The sequence below is a fragment of the Homo sapiens genome, chromosome 22 (assembly GCF_000001405.40).
Source record: "Homo sapiens chromosome 22, GRCh38.p14 Primary Assembly".
Taxonomy (NCBI): Eukaryota; Metazoa; Chordata; class Mammalia; order Primates; family Hominidae; genus Homo; species Homo sapiens.
In genome coordinates, this window is record NC_000022.11 from 41560958 (window position 1) to 41576879 (window position 15922).

Sequence of the window (15922 nt, forward strand, 5' to 3'; positions counted from 1 at the left end):
CATCCCTCCCTCCTGCTCTCCCTGACGTCAGCTGGAAGGCGTGTGAGTGAGTGAGGGGCTGAGGTACCGCCCGCGCGAGCACACACAGACACACACACACACACACACACACACACACACACACATCTTCCAGACCCATCCCCTGCCTGCCAGCTCCACGAGCCAGAGAGAGACAGAGCGCGGACGCCGCAGGAGGCAGTGCCTGGACCCCAGCTGCCCAGGAGAGGTGAGGGGCTAGATGGGGCCTGAGGACACTGTGCCAGAAACTGTGGCTTTGGCCAGGCCGAAGGAGAGAGGTACAACGTGAAGGTGGGGGCTGGATCAGCCCAGTTCAGCTTACAGATAGGGTGTTGGGGGTATAGAGGATACCACCTGTCTCTCCCTCCCTCATTCTCTCCCCGTGACCCCCAAATGAGGTGAGGCCGTGTGGCTCCCGTGGGAGCATGTCTGTGTCTGTGTCTGTGTCTGTGTCTGGGACCTGCGTCTGGCTCAGGAGGCAGAGAGCAGCAGATACCTGCCAAGCCGCAGCCTCCTGTCTGGGAAGCAGCGGGAGAGAGGACCGCCTTGACCAGAGAAACCCCAGTGCCGCTTCCAGTTGCTGAAAGCAGAGTGCAGCAGGGACCCTTGCTGGTCCTTCCCCTGGAATGTTGGGCTGGGAAGGGACCGGCTGGGAAAGGCAGACAGTTGGACCTGGAGCAGCTGTCTTATCCTGACTCTATTTTTTCCCCAGTGTGATGGGGATAATTGTGTTAGTTGGCTTAGAGAGGTGGCTCCGTGTGGTTATTCTCTTCCCCCAGGTACCACCCCACCCCGAGCCCTTGCTTCTTGCCTGCCTGCTGGTCTGCTCTGACCTCCACCCTTGCCAGGGCACAGCCCCCGGAGGGCAGGGGTGATAAGTCAGGGCCTGCCAGGCCTCTATCTTGGGATACAGGGACTTAGGGTGGCCTTGGCTGGTGCCAAGCCCATGAATGGCCTGACCCTGGCACAAGGAGTCCAGGCGGAGATAAGGGGCGACGCTGGCACCCACAAGGAGACAGCAGGTTCCTGCCAAGCTGCCAGCCTGCAGGCTCTTCCCAGGGAGAGGGGAGGGGGACACAGAGCGAGAACAATAATAAATACAGAGTGTGAACTGCTGCATCCACTGGGGCTGGGGTAGGAGAGGAGGAAGTATGCCCAGTGGGGGGTGGGCAACCTCTCTGAGAGCCTGGCATCATGCTGCCTGGCTGTGATCCGGCAGGGGCCTCTCCCTGGGAAAGGGGGTCTCCAGCTTTCTGGGGGATGGGGAACTGGTTTCCCAAACCTGACTCCATCCCAGAGTCCTCTGGACCCTCCAAATTCTGAATGTTTCCTCCTCCCAGCTTTGCCCTGCCGCCCCCCATTTCCTTGAAGTCTTCTCCAAAAATGTCTGTTTTCTGTGTCTGCCCATCTTGACCCATCCTCACCCCCTTCAAAAAAAAAAAAAAAGACAGGTATAGACAGGAACTGCCTGCCCGTGTCCTGGGAAAGGCCAGAGGACAGTTTTGGCCACAGATGGCTCTCCCAGGCTTGGAGAGACATGGCTAGGCAATGTTCACGGATGCGCAGGGGGATTCCCTGAGGGGGACTTGGGGACACTCTCAGATGGCTGGTGGGGAGGGGACACCTGCCAGCCAGTCTGGAGTAGAGCCCCCTAGGGGGTAGAGGGCGCTCAGGACCTGGCTGAGCCAGTCATGTCCACGGTCACAACTGGGGCAGCCAGGACCCAGAGCCTTGTAGGAATGGGGCTTGGGGCAGTTCAGACCTTTGTCCATGCTGAGCAGCAAAATGGGAGGCTAAAAGTAGTAGGGAGCTCTTCTGCCCCACAGCCAGCAAAATGACACTCCTGGGCTGGGGGGCTGGCATGGCACACCAGAAAGCTGTGGGGTCACACTGATTGGAGTTCAAGTTCAGATGCTGTATGTATGTATGACTTTGACCAGTCTATTCCTCTCTCTAGGGGGTCTCAAAATGGGAAAGTGACTTGCCTAGGGTCGCACAGCCAAGCACAGGTGGGACTGGGGTGCGTATTTGGCTCTCCCAGTGCCGTCCTGGTTTCCCCACCACCACCCAAGCCACAGAAGCCCAAAGGCCTTAACCACAGCAGTTCCCCAGGGCAGCCTGGGCATGTGACAAGGAGGACTACAGGGTCTCTTAAATAATTAAGCTCAAGTATTGGCTGGGGCAGCCCTCATGCACAGACGCAGGCACACAGGCTGTGTGGGGGAAGGACCAGGTTTAATCAGGTCACCTCAGGCTGCAAGAGCAGTTCAGGCACTGATGTATTTTAAGGAGCATCTGGGAGGCTGGGGGAGGGGGAGGAGCCAGGGAAGTGTCAGCTCCTGCCCGGGGGTCCTGAGTTTGTTTTCTCACTCTCCCAGGGCCCACCATGCACAAGCTCCCGATGTTCGGGAAGCCCTTCCAGCGTCATCCTTGTGTTCCCCGTCCTTTCTATTTTTAAACCACCGTACCCATTCCTCCCATCTGCTCCCCTGTGATGGGGGCTTGGGGCTGGGACATTTTTATTGGGGGAGTTGTTTTTAAGCTTAGCAGAGTTGGTGAGTGACTCACCCAAGGTCATGGTCTGAGTCAGCGCAAAGCCAGAAATAAAAGCCCCAGTCCTGGCTCCCCAGGAATTCCACACCCGACTCCTCCTTCTCCAGGGGAGGGTGGGCGCCACCCTCAAGGAATGGCTGGTCTTCACCTCCCCAGACATCTCCAGAGGGCAGATATGCTGCACCTGACCTGCTGTGAGAGCTCAGCGAGGCTCTTCACCTCTCTGAGCCTCAGTTTACTCTTTAGAAGATGGGTGTACTAAGCCAGGCGCAGTGGCTCATGCCTGTAATCCCAGCACTTTGGGAGGCTGAGGCGGGCGGATCACGAGGTCGGGAGATCGAGACCATCCTGGCTAACACGGTGAAACCCCGTCTCTACTAAAAATACAAAAAAAAAAAAAGAAAAATTAACCGAGCGTGGTGGCGGGCACCTGTATTCCCAGCTACTCGGGAGGCTGAGCCAGGAGAATGGCGGGAACCTGGGAGGCGGAGCTTGCAGTGAGCCGAGATCGCACCACTGCACTCCAGCCTGGGCGACACAGCAAGACTCCATCTCAATTAAAAAAAAAAAAAAAGAAGAAGAAGAATGGGTGTACTAATGGTAGTTACTGCATCGGGTTCTTATGAGTACGAAATGAAAAAATGGGGCAAAGGGCTTGGCACATGGTCAGTATCAATAGATCACTAGATGGTGGCTGAGGCTCACATCAGGACTTCCAATGCTGCTTTTTTAAAATTATTATTGTTTTTGAGACAGAGTCTTGCTGTGTCGCCCAGGCTGGAGTGCAGTGGCGCGATCTCGGCTCACTGCAAGCTCCGTCTCCCGGGTTCACACCATCCTCCGGCCTCAGGCCTCCCCAGTGACTGGGACTACAGGTGCCTGCCACCACGCCCAGTTAATTTTTTGTATTTTTAGCAGAGACGGGGTTTCACCGTGTTAGCCAGGATGGTCTCAATCTCCTGACCTCGTGATCCACCCGCCTTAGCCTCCCAAAGTGCTGGGATTACAGGTGTGAGCCACCACTCTTGGCCCCCAAGCTGCATTTTAATAATCTGTTTCTGTTCCCCCCGCTGGACTGGGGTGCTCTAAGGACAGCTGTTGCCCCACGTTTGTTGTTCTGGTGCCTGCACTCAGTTTGATTTCATTTACATATGTGTTTTTGAAAACCTCGGAGGAGAATTGGCCTGACCTTCATTAGTCATCTGGACCAACGATGATTCACGTAGCTGAAGAGAAAGGTGAGGTCCAGAGAGGAGCAGGTGCCTGCCCCAGGTCACACAGCACTGGGTGGCTGACCAGGCTGCCTTTCCCTAATCCGCTCAGACTGAGAGGACTCATGGTCAAGAGAAGACCATACAGTCAGGCGCGGTGGCTCACACTTGTAATCCCAGCACTTTGGGAGGCCAAGGGGGTTGATCACCTGATGTCAGGAGTTCAAGATCAGCTGGCCAACATGGTGAAACTCTGTCTCTACTAAAAATACAAAAATTAGCTGGGCATGGTGGTGAGCGTCTGTGATCCCAGCTACTCGAGAGGCTGAGGCAGGAGAATCACTTGAACCCGGGAGGCAGAGGTTTCAGTGAGCCGAGATCGCGCCACTGGACTCCAGCCTGGGAGACAGAGTGAGACTCAAAAAAAAAAGGATGGGTGCGGTGGTTTACGCCTTTAATCCCAGCACTTTGGGAGGCTGAGGCAGGTGGATCACAAGATCAGGAGTTTGAGACCAGCCTGGCCAACATGGTGAAACCCCATCTCTACTAAAAATACAAAAATTAATCGGGTGTGGTGGTGCACGCCTGTAATCCCAGCTACTCAGGAGGCTAAGGAAGGAGAATTGCTTGAACCCGGGAGGCAGATGTTGCAGTGAGCCGAGATCATGCCACTGCACTCCAGCCTGGGTGACGGAGTAAGATTCCATCTCAAAAAAAAAAAAAAAAAAAAAGAGGACTATGGCCAGGCACAGTGACTCACACTGTAATCCTAGCACTTAGGGAGACTGAGGCTGCAGTGAGCCATGATGGTGCCACTGCACTCCGGCCTGGGTGACAAAGTGATACCCTGTCTCAAAAAATTAAAAAGTAAGAGAGAACCATGACAACCATTTCCTGCCCCATTCTGCATCCTTTTAGGGGAGCTGAGAATTGGAGCAGAGTCCCAGCATGGGCTGTGGTTCATCTGCCAAGAAGGCTGAGTCACCACCCAGAGTGCCCCATGACACTGCATCCAGCCTCAGGTTATCTCCAAACAGCCTGACATTTGTGTTTACTTCTAGGCCCCTTTGTCTGCAGAGTCAGTCATTTGGGGTCTGGCCTTCTGCAGGGAAATGAAGATGAGCTTGGCTCAGAGCCCAAACTCAGGGCCGGGGGACAGGGGGATGCACACTCGCCGGGGGGCCTTTGACACAGCTCTGTGGCTCCTCCCGACAACCTGGGTAGGATGTTATGATCAGCCCCATTTGACAGATGAGGGATCTGAGGCACAAAAAGGGAGAGTTGGCCGGGCGCAGTGGCTCATGCCTGAAATCCCAGCACTTTGGGAGGCCAAGGCGGGTGGATCACCTGCAGTCAGGAGTTCGAGACCAGCCTGGCCAACATGGTGAAACCCCATCTCTGATTAAAAAAAAAAAAAAAAAAAAGGCTGGGCGCAGTGGCTCACGCCTGTAATCCCAGCACTTTGGGAAGCTGAGGTGGGCGGATCATGAGGTTGGGAGATCAAGACCATCCTGGCCAACATGGTGAAACCTTGTCTGTACTAAAATACAAAAAATTAGCTGGGCGTGGTGGCACACGCCTGTAGTCCCAGCTACTCAGGAGGCTGAGGCAGAAGAATCGCTTGAACCCCACAGGCAGAGGTTGCAGTGAGCCAAGATCACGCCACTGCACTCCAGCCTGTTCACAGAGCAAGACTCCATCTAAAAAAAAAAAAAAAAAAAAAAAAAACACACAAAAATTAGCTGGGTGTGGTGGTGGGCGTCTGTAATCCCAGCCAGCTACTTGGGAGTTTGAGGCAGGAGAATCACTTGAACCTGGGAGGCAGAGGTTGCAGTGAGCCGAGATCACGCCACTGCACTCCAGCCTGAGGGACAGAGTGAGACTCTGTCTCAAAAAAAAAAAAAAAAAGGGGGAGGGTCACCGGACTCAGTGGCTCACGCCTGTAATCCCAGCACTTTGGGAGGCCGAGGCGGGCAGATCACGAGGTCAGGAGATCGAGACCACAGTGAAACCCCGTCTCTACTAAAAATACAAAAAATTAGCCGTGCGTGGTGGCAGGCGCCTGTAATCCCAGCTACTCGGGAGGCTGAGGCAGGAGAAAGGCGTGAACCCGGGAGGCGGAGCTTGCAGTGAGCCAAGATCGCGCCACTGCACTCCAGCCTGGGCGACAGAGCGATCCTCCGTCTCAAAAAAAAAAAAAAAAAGGGAGGGTCACAAAACTGGGTTGCAGTGGAACAAGGATTTAAACTCAGGCAGTCTGGGTCTCAGGCTGCCCTCTTACCTGACTGCTCGTTCTGAAGGGCATTATTCCTGGCAGGAGATGGCCCCAGAAGGACACACGAAATCCCCCTGGAGCTGGCCTTTAGCTCTGTTTGAGTGGAAACAAATGTTCTAGAAACATATCAGTTTCTCTGCTCTTGGGGGAGTTTATTTTCCCATTTAGTTTCTCAGGGAAAGTTCTTTTGGAAAAACTCCAGCCTCATCTTGGCTGAACCAGGAACAGAATTTATATTCACAGGAAGAGCACTGGTTTACTGTTAGACAGATCTGGGACTCTGTCACCTGCTGTGTGACTTTGGGCAAGTCACTCAACCTCTCTGAGCCTCAGCTATCTCATCTGTAAAATGGAAAAATTGTAATTTCAACTCTATAGGGTAACTGGGAGGTTGAAACGTAGAAAATAATTTCTGTAAAGACTTTTGCACAGTACATGGCATTCAGCCAATGAAAGCCTCATTTTCACTTGCCCTCTTTGGCAGCAATGCTCTGGAGAGGGGGTCTGAACTGGAGGGTTGCTCCGTATCTCCATCTTCCCTTCTCTCTGGTCTCTCGGGCTGCTGGGCATTGTACAGCTCCTCCAAGCCCACGCCCTGGCAGGGCCCAGAGAGGGAAAGGCCCTGTACCAGCTCACACAGTAGGTCAATAGCAATACAGAGCCTGGACACAGGACTCCTGCCTTCCCACTGGAAGGCTCCAGATCATACTGATTCAAATTCTGGCTCAGACTTTGATTGGTGTGTGTCCTTGAGTGAGTGATTTAACCTCTTTGAGCCTCGATTTTCTTGTCTACAAAGTGGGGTAATAATAGCACCAGCCTTGAAGAGCAGTTGCAGGAATTAAATAAAACAAGAGACTGTGGAGCTTTGAGGGGTGGGCGATCCTTAGGGAAGAAGAGAGGATGAAAGTGAATGGTGGGCTTGGCCCAGCTCGGCTGGGTCTCTCCTTCCCCCACTCCCTCTTCCCTCAACACCCAATTCCACAGCCTTGTCTAGGAGGGGCAGGCTCTCGCCCAGCGCCCAGCGCCTACTCAGTGCTTCCCACATCCCACCTCAATTCTCATTTCATCCTCAAAAGAGCCCTTGGAGGAGAGAGTCTTTTTTTTCTCTCTCCCTCTCTTTTTTTTGAGACTGGGTCTTGCTCTGTCGCCCAGGCTGTAGTGCAGTAGCTTGATTACCACTCACTGCAGCCTTGACCTCCTGGGCTCAAGCAGTCCTCCCACCTTAGCCTCCTGAGTAGCTGGGACCACAGGCATGCACCACTACACCCAGCTAATTTTTTTTTTAAGACAGTGTCTAACTTTGTCCCCCAGGCTGCACTGCAGAGGCGTGATCTCCGCTCTCTGCAGCCTCGACCTCCTGGGTTCAAGCAATCCTGCTGCCTCAGATGCCCAAGTAGCTGGGACTACAGGTGCGCCACCGCCATGCCTAGCTAATTTTTGTAATTTTTATAGACACAAGCTTTCACCATGTTGCCCCAGCTGGTCTTAAGCTCCTGGGCTTAAAAGATCCTCCTGCCTTGGCCTCCCAAAGTGCTGGGATTATTGGCGTAAGCCACCTTGCCTGTTGGAGGAGGAATTCTTGTGATCCCCATTTCCCAGATAAGGAAACTGAGGCTGCAATGGGCGACAGGGGAGAAGCCTGTTCTCTCTGCCTTGTGGAAGCTGCCTGTCTCCTGCCCCTGCCTGAGCTCTTGCCCTGAGGCCAACTCGCTGCCTCCTCTTGGTCCTGTCTTTGCTGTGGCTCTTCTGCCTCCCTTCTGCTCTCTGGTCTCTCTGCCACCTGAGAGCCCATCATGGGGAGGCTGCCCTCGACCCTGGCCCAGAATCATCAGTGGGTTCTTCCCCCATCCCTGCAGCCCACTTAGCATGAGGCCCTGGAGCCGCACAGTCACTTGGGTGGGAGGTCTGGCTGGCCAGAGCAGGCCCCAGCTCAGCCGCGTCTCCCTGGTAACCACCATGAGCTGCATCTCCCCCTCTCCATCCTCCTCTTCCCTCCCTGCCCCTCCATGGCCTCCCAGCACTGGCTGTCACTGCCAAGCACAATACCAGGCCTGGGAAAACTGCAGTTGGGAGGCCAGGACCGCCCTGCTCCCTAGAGAGAGGGAGGCAGGGCCTCTGTCCCCATCGCCTGCCAACCCTCACCCAGGTGGGGCAGGTGGCACTCAAGGAGTGCACTGCAGGGCGTCTGGTGCTTCCCAGCTGTGTCATCTTGGGTAACTTTGCTGCCCCGTCTTCTTTTTTTTGGTAACAGCTTTACTGAGATATCGTTCATATACCATAAAATTCACCTGCTTAAGGCGTTCAGTTCAGTTGTTTTTAGTACATTCACAGAGTTGTGCAGCCATCACCACAGCCAATTATAGAACATTTCCATTCCCCAAAAAGAAACGTTCTACCCATTGGCAGCCCTCCCCTCTCCCTCCTTCCCAGCCCTGGTGACCACCAGTGGACTCCCTGTCTATGAGGATTTGCCTCAGAGATGGAATCATGCCCTCTGTGTTTTTGGGACTGGCTTCTTCTCTGTGACCTTGCAAACATTCTCGCATAATGTGTGCAGGGTTCATCTAGGGTGTAGCGTGAATCAGTATTTCTTCTTTTCTTTTTCTTATGGCCAAGTGCTAGTCTACCATGTGTCTAGACCATAATTTATTATCCATTCATCTGCTGATGGGCTCGGGCTGTTTTCACTTGTTGGCTGTTGTGAATGAGCACTGGTGTGACCATTCATGAACATTTATGTCCAAGTGTTTGTGTGGTTGCTTTTTTTTTTTTTTTTTTTTTTGACAGAGTCTGGGTCAGTCACCCACCCTGGAGTGCAATGGTGTGGTCTTGGCTTGCTGCAACCTCTGCCTCCCGGGTTGAAGCAATTCTCATGCCTCAGCCTTCTGAGTAGCTGGGACTACAGGTGGATGCCATCACACCCGATTAATTTTTGTATTTTTAGGAGAGACGGGGTTTCACCATGTTGGCCAGGCTGGTCTCGAACTCCTGACCTCAAGTGATCTGCCCACCTTGGCCTCCCAAAGTGCTGGGATTACAGGTGTGCGCCACCACACCCGGCTGTTTGTGTGGTTGCTTCTTGAAGCTTCCGTATTCTTCTCTCTAAAATGAGGATAATGGGTGAAAAGGCCAAACCTGGTTTGCCCTGCCAACCTGGCATGAGCTTAGACAGAAAAGCCCCACTTCAGCCTTTTCAGGGTTGAGGGTCTGTGAGGCAAGCCAAGCCCGGGGCTCCAGTGCCTTCCTGACTGGAGGGGGAGGGTTTTGGGAGGAGGGAGGATACTACTCCACCTCCACCCCTAGGCATGGCAGAGCCAGCTCAGCATCTTGGTTCAGAAAAATTCCACTTGCTGTATAATCTTGAGCAGAGGCCAGAAGACCTGCTCCAGTGGACTCCTGGACTCATCCAGGCCTGCCATGCAGGGTGTTCAGGCTTTCTGAGCTCTGGACTCCAAGGAACCTTACAGGAACCTTGTGGGTGATTTTCCTTCCCTGGGAACTCCAAGCTCTGGGGTGGGAGGGGTATAAATTGGAGGCCACAGGCCTGTAACCCCAGCATTTTGGGAGGCCGAGGGAGGTAGATCAACTGAGGTCAGGAGTTCGAGATCAGCCTGGCCAACATGGTGAAACCCCGTCTCTACTAAAAATACACAAATTAGCCAGGCGTGTTGGCAGGCACCTGTAATCCCAGCTACTTGGGAGGTTGAGGCAGGAGAATCACTTGAACCTGGGAGGCAGAAGTGACAGTGAGCCGAGATCACACCACTGTACTCCAGCCTGGGTGACAGAGTGAGACTCTGTCTCAAAAAAAAAAAAAAAAAAATTAGCTAGGTGTGAGGGTGCATGCTTGTAAATTCCAGCTACTTGGGAGGCTGAGGTGGGAGGATCGCTTCAGCCCAGGAGATGGAGGCTGCAGTGAGTCATGACCATGTCAGTGTTCCCCAGACTGGATGAGACCATGTCTCAAAAAAAAAAAAAAAAACAAAGGATCAATGCTAGCCCCATTTTACAGAACAGAAAATAAGAGTCAGAAGTTAAGAGTGTTGACCAATGCGCTGGACGAGTTGGCTCATGCCTGTAATCCCAGCACTTTGGGAGACCAAGGTGGGCAGATCACCTGAGGTCAGGAGTTCGAGACCTGCCTGGCCAACATGGTGAGACCCCATCTCTACTAAAAATACAAAAAATCAGCCAGGTGTGGTGGCAGGCGCCTGTAATCCCAGCTACTCAGGAGGCTGAGGCAGGAGAATCGCTTATACCCAGGAGGCAGAGGCTGCAGTGAGCCGAGATCGTGCCAATGCACTCCAGCCTGGGCAACAAGAGTGAGACTCTGTCTAAAACAAAAAAAAAAATTTGACCAGAGCCAAGGCTATGTAGCCAGAAGGTGGAGGATGCAGGATTCAAACCCAGGCCTGGGTGTGGAGCCCATACTCCCACCTGCCATGTTGGAGCTGATGTGTGGCTTGGCTTGCTTGAAGTCACCAAGTTGTAGGTGACAAAGCTAAGGTTTGAACCCAGATGTGTGACTCTGAAACAACTGACCCTTATGCCGAACCATATTCTAGACCATCACTGGCCACCCTACCCAGCCACCTCCCAGGCCCCTGGAGTTAAGAGAATTGAACTGCAAACTGGAAGGACTTAGGGGTCATATGACCCCTAGTTTTGTTTTTCTGGTGAGGACTCTGAACCACGATGGGGTCGTTTGTGACTTGAAGTAACGCCGTGAGGATAGCAGGTGGGACCAGCCCTCCTCACTGTGGCCAGGGTTCAGGAGCTGCTCCCCTGGACTAGGCTCACCTGTGCCTCTTTCTTCCTCTTCCAGACGGAGCCCGTGGCTGGTGAGGCCGCAGAGCAGGGCCAGGCCGGGCCCTGCCCGCAAGGACGACCAAACCCCTCACCGGCCCCTGGGCCCCAGAGCCCACCAGGCTCTCCTGCTGGCCCCACCATGACTTCAGAGTCGACGTCACCCCCAGTTGTGCCCCCGCTCCACTCCCCCAAGTCCCCAGTCTGGCCCACCTTCCCCTTCCACAGGGAGGGCAGCAGGGTCTGGGAGCGGGGTGGTGTCCCACCTCGGGACCTACCCAGCCCTCTGCCCACCAAGCGGACCAGGACCTATTCAGCGTGAGTACCTGCCCCTTGCCCAGGCCCCTGACCCTTGTCAGGACAGGGGCTGACCATCCCCATCCTCTTCCAACTCCTGTTGTCCTCACCTGGGACAGGGGAACTGTGTGTGGACCTTCCAGTAACTGGATGGATGTTTGTCCCATACATCCATTCATCCATCCACCCATCCACCCATCCATCCATCCATCCATCCATCCATCCACCCACCCACCCACCCACCCACCCACCCACCCACCCACCCACCCATCCATCCATCCATCCATCCATCCATCCATCCATCCATCCATCCACCTGTCCATCCATCCATCCATCCATCCACCCACCCATCCATCCGTCCATCCATCCGTCTGTCCGTCCATCCATCCACCCATCCATTCATCTATCCATCTATTCCACAAAGATTTACTGAGCTCCTGACCAGTCAGGATCCATAAGCTGCTTACAATCCAGAGGGAACTTGTTCACCATCCATTACCACCCAGCAGGGTTAGGGGTGAGGACCCAGCATGGGGTACCAGAGGAGATGATGTCCTGGTTGGGTATGGAAGATGTATCAGGTGAAGAAGGGAGCTGGCGATTCTGGGCAGATGGTACAGCATGGGCAAAACCCAAGACACGGAGTTAACCTTTGGAGAGGGGTAGGTAGGCGGGACAAAGACTAGGCCTGGGCCTTTGGGGTAGGTCACCGATGAGGTGGCATAGGGGAGTAATACGGGTCCATATGGGGGAGGCCAAAGGATCTTTTGGGAAGGACAGGGTCTCGCTCTGTTGCCCAGGCTGGAGTGCAGTGGTGCAGTCATGGCTCACTGCAGCCTCAACTTCCTGGCCTTCAGCAATCCTCCCACCTCAGCCTCCTGAGTAGCTGGGACGACTGGTGCGTGCCACCACCCCCAGCTCATTTTTTTAAAAAAATGTTTGGGCCAGACATGGTGGCTCATGCCTGTAATCCCAGCACTTTGGGAGGTCGAGACAGGTGGATCAGTTAAGGACAGGAGATCAAGCCAGTATGGCCAACATGGCCAAACACTGCAAAACCCTGTCTCTACTAAAAATGCCAAAACTTAGCTGGGTGTGGTGGTGGGTGCCTGTAATCCCAGCTACTCAGGAGGCTGAGGCATGAGAATTGCTTGAACCTGGGAGGTGTAGGTTGCAGTGAGCTGAGATTGCACCCCTGCACTCCAGCCTGGGTGACAGAGAAAGACCCTGTCTCAAAAAAAAAAAAAAATTTTTTTTGTAGAGATGGGAGTCTCCCTATGTTGTCCAGGCTGGTCTCAAACTCCTAGGCCCAAGTGATCCTCCCGCCTCAGCCTCCCAAAGTGCTGGGATTACAGGTGTGAGCCACCGTGCCTGGCCTCATTATCGTTGAATGGGGATGACTGTGTGGTTTCTGGCCTGGGTCAAGTTTCTCACAGCCCTGAGGCACGCTCAGCAGAAAGGGCCCAGAATGGCTGTAGGGATCCGGGGAGGAGTTCCTCAGGCCACAGCTCCAATCCCACTACCCTATCTCCAGGACAGCCCGGGCCTCAGCTGGCCCCGTGTTCAAGGGCGTCTGTAAGCAGTTCTCACGCTCACAGGGCCATGGCTTCATCACCCCCGAGAACGGGTCCGAGGACATCTTCGTACATGTGTCTGAGTGAGTCCCCTCCACCTCCCTGTTCTTGGCCCCTGCCCTAGTGTCCCCAATGGTGCCTCAAAAATGGCTCTCCAGGCCTCTCCTCTCACTGGCTGAGGTCTGTATTCATGGTGCCTTTTCTGTCCTCTGAGTAGGGGCTGAGGGTGCGTTGGGAGAGGAGGGCTGGGGCCAGGGAGGGAGTGGGCACGCAGACCCCAGAAGCCTGGGAGCCAGCGGCTGGGCCCTGGATCCTGTTACAGCATCGTGGAGGTCTGAGAGGGCTAGGCCAGCTCCTGAGCCTCTTGGCCTGGAAAGGGCCTTCATGTGGGTGGGCCAGGAGGTAGAGATGGATATCATGTCTAGGCCTGGCCCCACCCACTTCTAATGCCAGGAGGACCGGGGGAGGTCACTGAGCTTCTCAGAGCTTTAGGGACCTCCCCGTGCCCTTTCACATCTCGGTCCCCAAGGGACCCAGAAAGGGAGGTACAGTTTATGAGTCCCATTTTATTTTATTTTATTTATTTTTTGAGAGGGAGTCTCGCTCTGTCGCCCAGGCTGGAGTGCAATGGCACAATCTCGGCTCAGTGCAACCTCCACTTCCTGGGTTCAAGCGATTCTCCCACCTCAGCCTCCCAAGTAGCTGGAATTACAGGTGCCAGCCACCATGCCTGGCTAATTTTTGTACTTTTAGTAGAGCCAGGGTTTCGCCATGTTGGCCAGGTTGGTGTCAAACTCCTGACTCAGGTGATCCGCCCGCCTCAGACTCCCAAAGTGCTGGGATTACAGGCGTGAGCCACTGTGCCCAGCCATGAGTCCCGTTTTACAGATTCGAGAGCTGAGGTTCTGAGAAGCAAGGCCTGGCCAGGCCTCCTGGCCTAGGGAGGCTTAGGGCCAGGCTGCCCCCAAGGCCAGGCCACAGGATTGTCTGGGGCACAGGGCCTGCTGCTGGGCTAATACCCCTCTTCCTGCCCGCCAGCATCGAGGGGGAGTACGTGCCAGTGGAGGGCGACGAGGTGACCTACAAGATGTGCCCTATCCCTCCCAAGAACCAGAAGTTCCAGGCCGTGGAGGTGGTGCTCACTCAGCTGGCCCCCCACACTCCCCACGAGACGTGGTCTGGCCAGGTCGTGGGCTCCTAGGCTGAGTGGTTCACAGGCCAGCTGGCCGGGGGTTGGGGAGCCACACAGGGTGAACGGGCAGCAGCCGGCTCCATGCCCCACTGCCCTGGCTGATGAGTCCTTCGGTGGCCTCAGTGTGCACGTCTGTCTGTCCGTCTGTGCTTGTGGCTATGAGCGTGTGCCTCCACCCACCCCACGACCCGTGACTACTGTGCAAGCTGGCCAGGAGGTAGGTGGAGGGCAAGGCCACCAGACCTGGCTTCGCGCTGTCCACTGCCTCTCTCCTCCCCTCCCTGCCGCAGACACGCAGGACCCGCTCGCCCTCCTGCTTACCCGTCCCCACGGTGACTGAGCTGCGAGAGCCTGCGCTGGGCTCACTCCCTGGCCTCCGCCCCTGAGCTGTCCCGTGTCAGTCCCTGGCCCGGAGCCAGGCTCTCTGTGCTACTTACATCTCCCTCCCTTGGCTGAGGTCCCCCGCCACAGCCTGGACCCTTCCCTCAGAAGCCTGGCCGATGGGTGCTTTTGGGGAGCCTCTCAGCCTCTGGCAGGGGAGGAGGACTGACACGGAGGCACACAGGCCTCTCACTGCCGAGGCCAGCCTTCCTTCCTGCTCTGCTCTCTCAGTGCCATGGAGAGGCAGGAAGAGGGGCCTGAGGGCGGAAGGGGTTTGGGGCTCCCATTTCGCCGGCCAGTCCCTCCTCCTCAGCCTGGCAGTGGCGCTGGGCTCCTTCCCCTGGGCTGTACTGAGCCGAGCCCAGGGGTTTGCAGAGGGTGGGGGTCCATCTCTCCAGCTTGGCTGCAGACCTCCTTTACCCTGACTCACAAGCCCCACTGATGCTCTGGGCCATGCCCGGCTGACGGCTGCTGTGGATGCCGCGAGGGACGGACACACGTCCGGGGCACCCACGAGGAGGGCCCCCAGCCTGGGAGACTGGCCCTGCGGCCTCCACGTCAAACTCTCTTCCCAAAGCCCTAACAGACCAGTGGCCGAGGTGTGGCTCTTATTGCATCCATCCCTGAAGATGTGTGGCTGTTGCTGTCACCTGGAGTCCTTTTGGGGCCAAGATGTGTGTGCACCCGGGGTCGTGGCCATTCACTCCCAGGCAGGGGTGAGGGTGGCCTGGCCCAGGAGGCCAGGAAGGAGGGCCCTGTCTGCCTCCACCTCTGGGTGCACCCCCTGCCTACCACCCTCCCTTCTAGAGAGCACATCGCCTGACCGGGGAGAAGTGGGGCCGTGGTTCGAGGGAGGGCTGGCCAGGGGTGGGACCCTTATGAGACTCAGTCTGTGAGTAAAACTGGGGGCTCAAATGCCCAGGATGAGGGGATCAGTGACTGTCTAGGAGGATCCCTTGCCTTGTAGGTGCCCCAAGACCGCAGGGTAGAAATCAGCCGGGATGCCTGCATCCCACCCCCGGCCCCAGGGCCCACCACATAAAATCTGGGAGCCCAGAGCTGCTGAGGTGTGGTCAGCTCCCCTAAAATGGGCACGGCCCAGCCTGTCCCATGAGGAATAAAGGCCCCTGGCCCCCTTGAGAGAGGGCTTGTTGGTGAGGGCTGACTCCTGGGGGCCCCCAAGGCTCCCCTCCTGTGGGGAGGCCACCTTTTAAGGCACCACTAGCAGTCAGGATATGGTGGCATCAGCCCTGGGGCCTCCTGGGTGGCAGGGGGGCAGCAGCTCTCCTCCCCACTCACAGGCCCTGCAGTGCTCATTTGGAATTCCTCCCAAGACCCCTGGCCACCCAGACCCCCCATTCTTCCTAACACTGGCAATAAACCCTCAACTGTGACCCACCGTGGCCTGAAGCTGCCTCTGTGTCAGGGTCCCCAAGGAAGGGGCTGGGGGTGGACACACCAAACCAGCTCTTCTTTGGGGATTCAATGGCCCCCTCCTCGACTGCATCAGACTTCCTTTGTGACCTGGGCCAAGTCCCTGCCCTCTCTGTGCTGTTTACTTGTCGGCAAAGTAGTGGCTGTGACAGCATGTGACTGGGGCCAATTATCCATT

The 15922-nt window shown here is 55.7% G+C and overlaps 1 protein-coding gene across 1 annotated transcript, besides 3 other annotated features; it reads left to right on the plus strand.

Annotated features, from left to right (window-relative positions):
- The first annotated feature begins 52 nt into the window (after positions 1–52).
- CSDC2 (cold shock domain containing C2) lies at positions 53–15709 on the plus strand. Its single transcript, NM_014460.4, has 4 exons — positions 53–226; positions 10886–11184; positions 12698–12820; positions 13776–15709. The coding sequence occupies exons 2-4, from the start codon at positions 11009–11011 to the stop codon at positions 13936–13938; spliced, it is 462 nt and encodes a 153-aa protein (NP_055275.1). The 5' UTR covers positions 53–226; positions 10886–11008; the 3' UTR covers positions 13939–15709.
- Positions 4668–4962: an enhancer, noted in NCBI's record as "tiled region #3167; K562 Activating DNase unmatched - State 5:Enh". NCBI's record gives its function as "activates a minimal TATA promoter and a strong SV40 promoter by Sharpr-MPRA in K562 cells {active_cell/tissue: K562}" and the evidence as "EXISTENCE:reporter gene assay evidence [ECO:0000049][PMID:27701403]".
- Positions 4668–5534: a biological region, named in NCBI's record as "Sharpr-MPRA regulatory region 3167".
- Positions 4712–5534: an enhancer, noted in NCBI's record as "H3K27ac-H3K4me1 hESC enhancer chr22:41961673-41962495 (GRCh37/hg19 assembly coordinates)". NCBI's record gives its function as "activates a minimal SCP1, AML or CMV promoter by ChIP-STARR-seq in naive H9 embryonic stem cells {active_cell/tissue: H9 hESC(naive)}" and the evidence as "EXISTENCE:reporter gene assay evidence [ECO:0000049][PMID:30033119]".
- Positions 15710–15922: the final 213 nt, after the last annotated feature.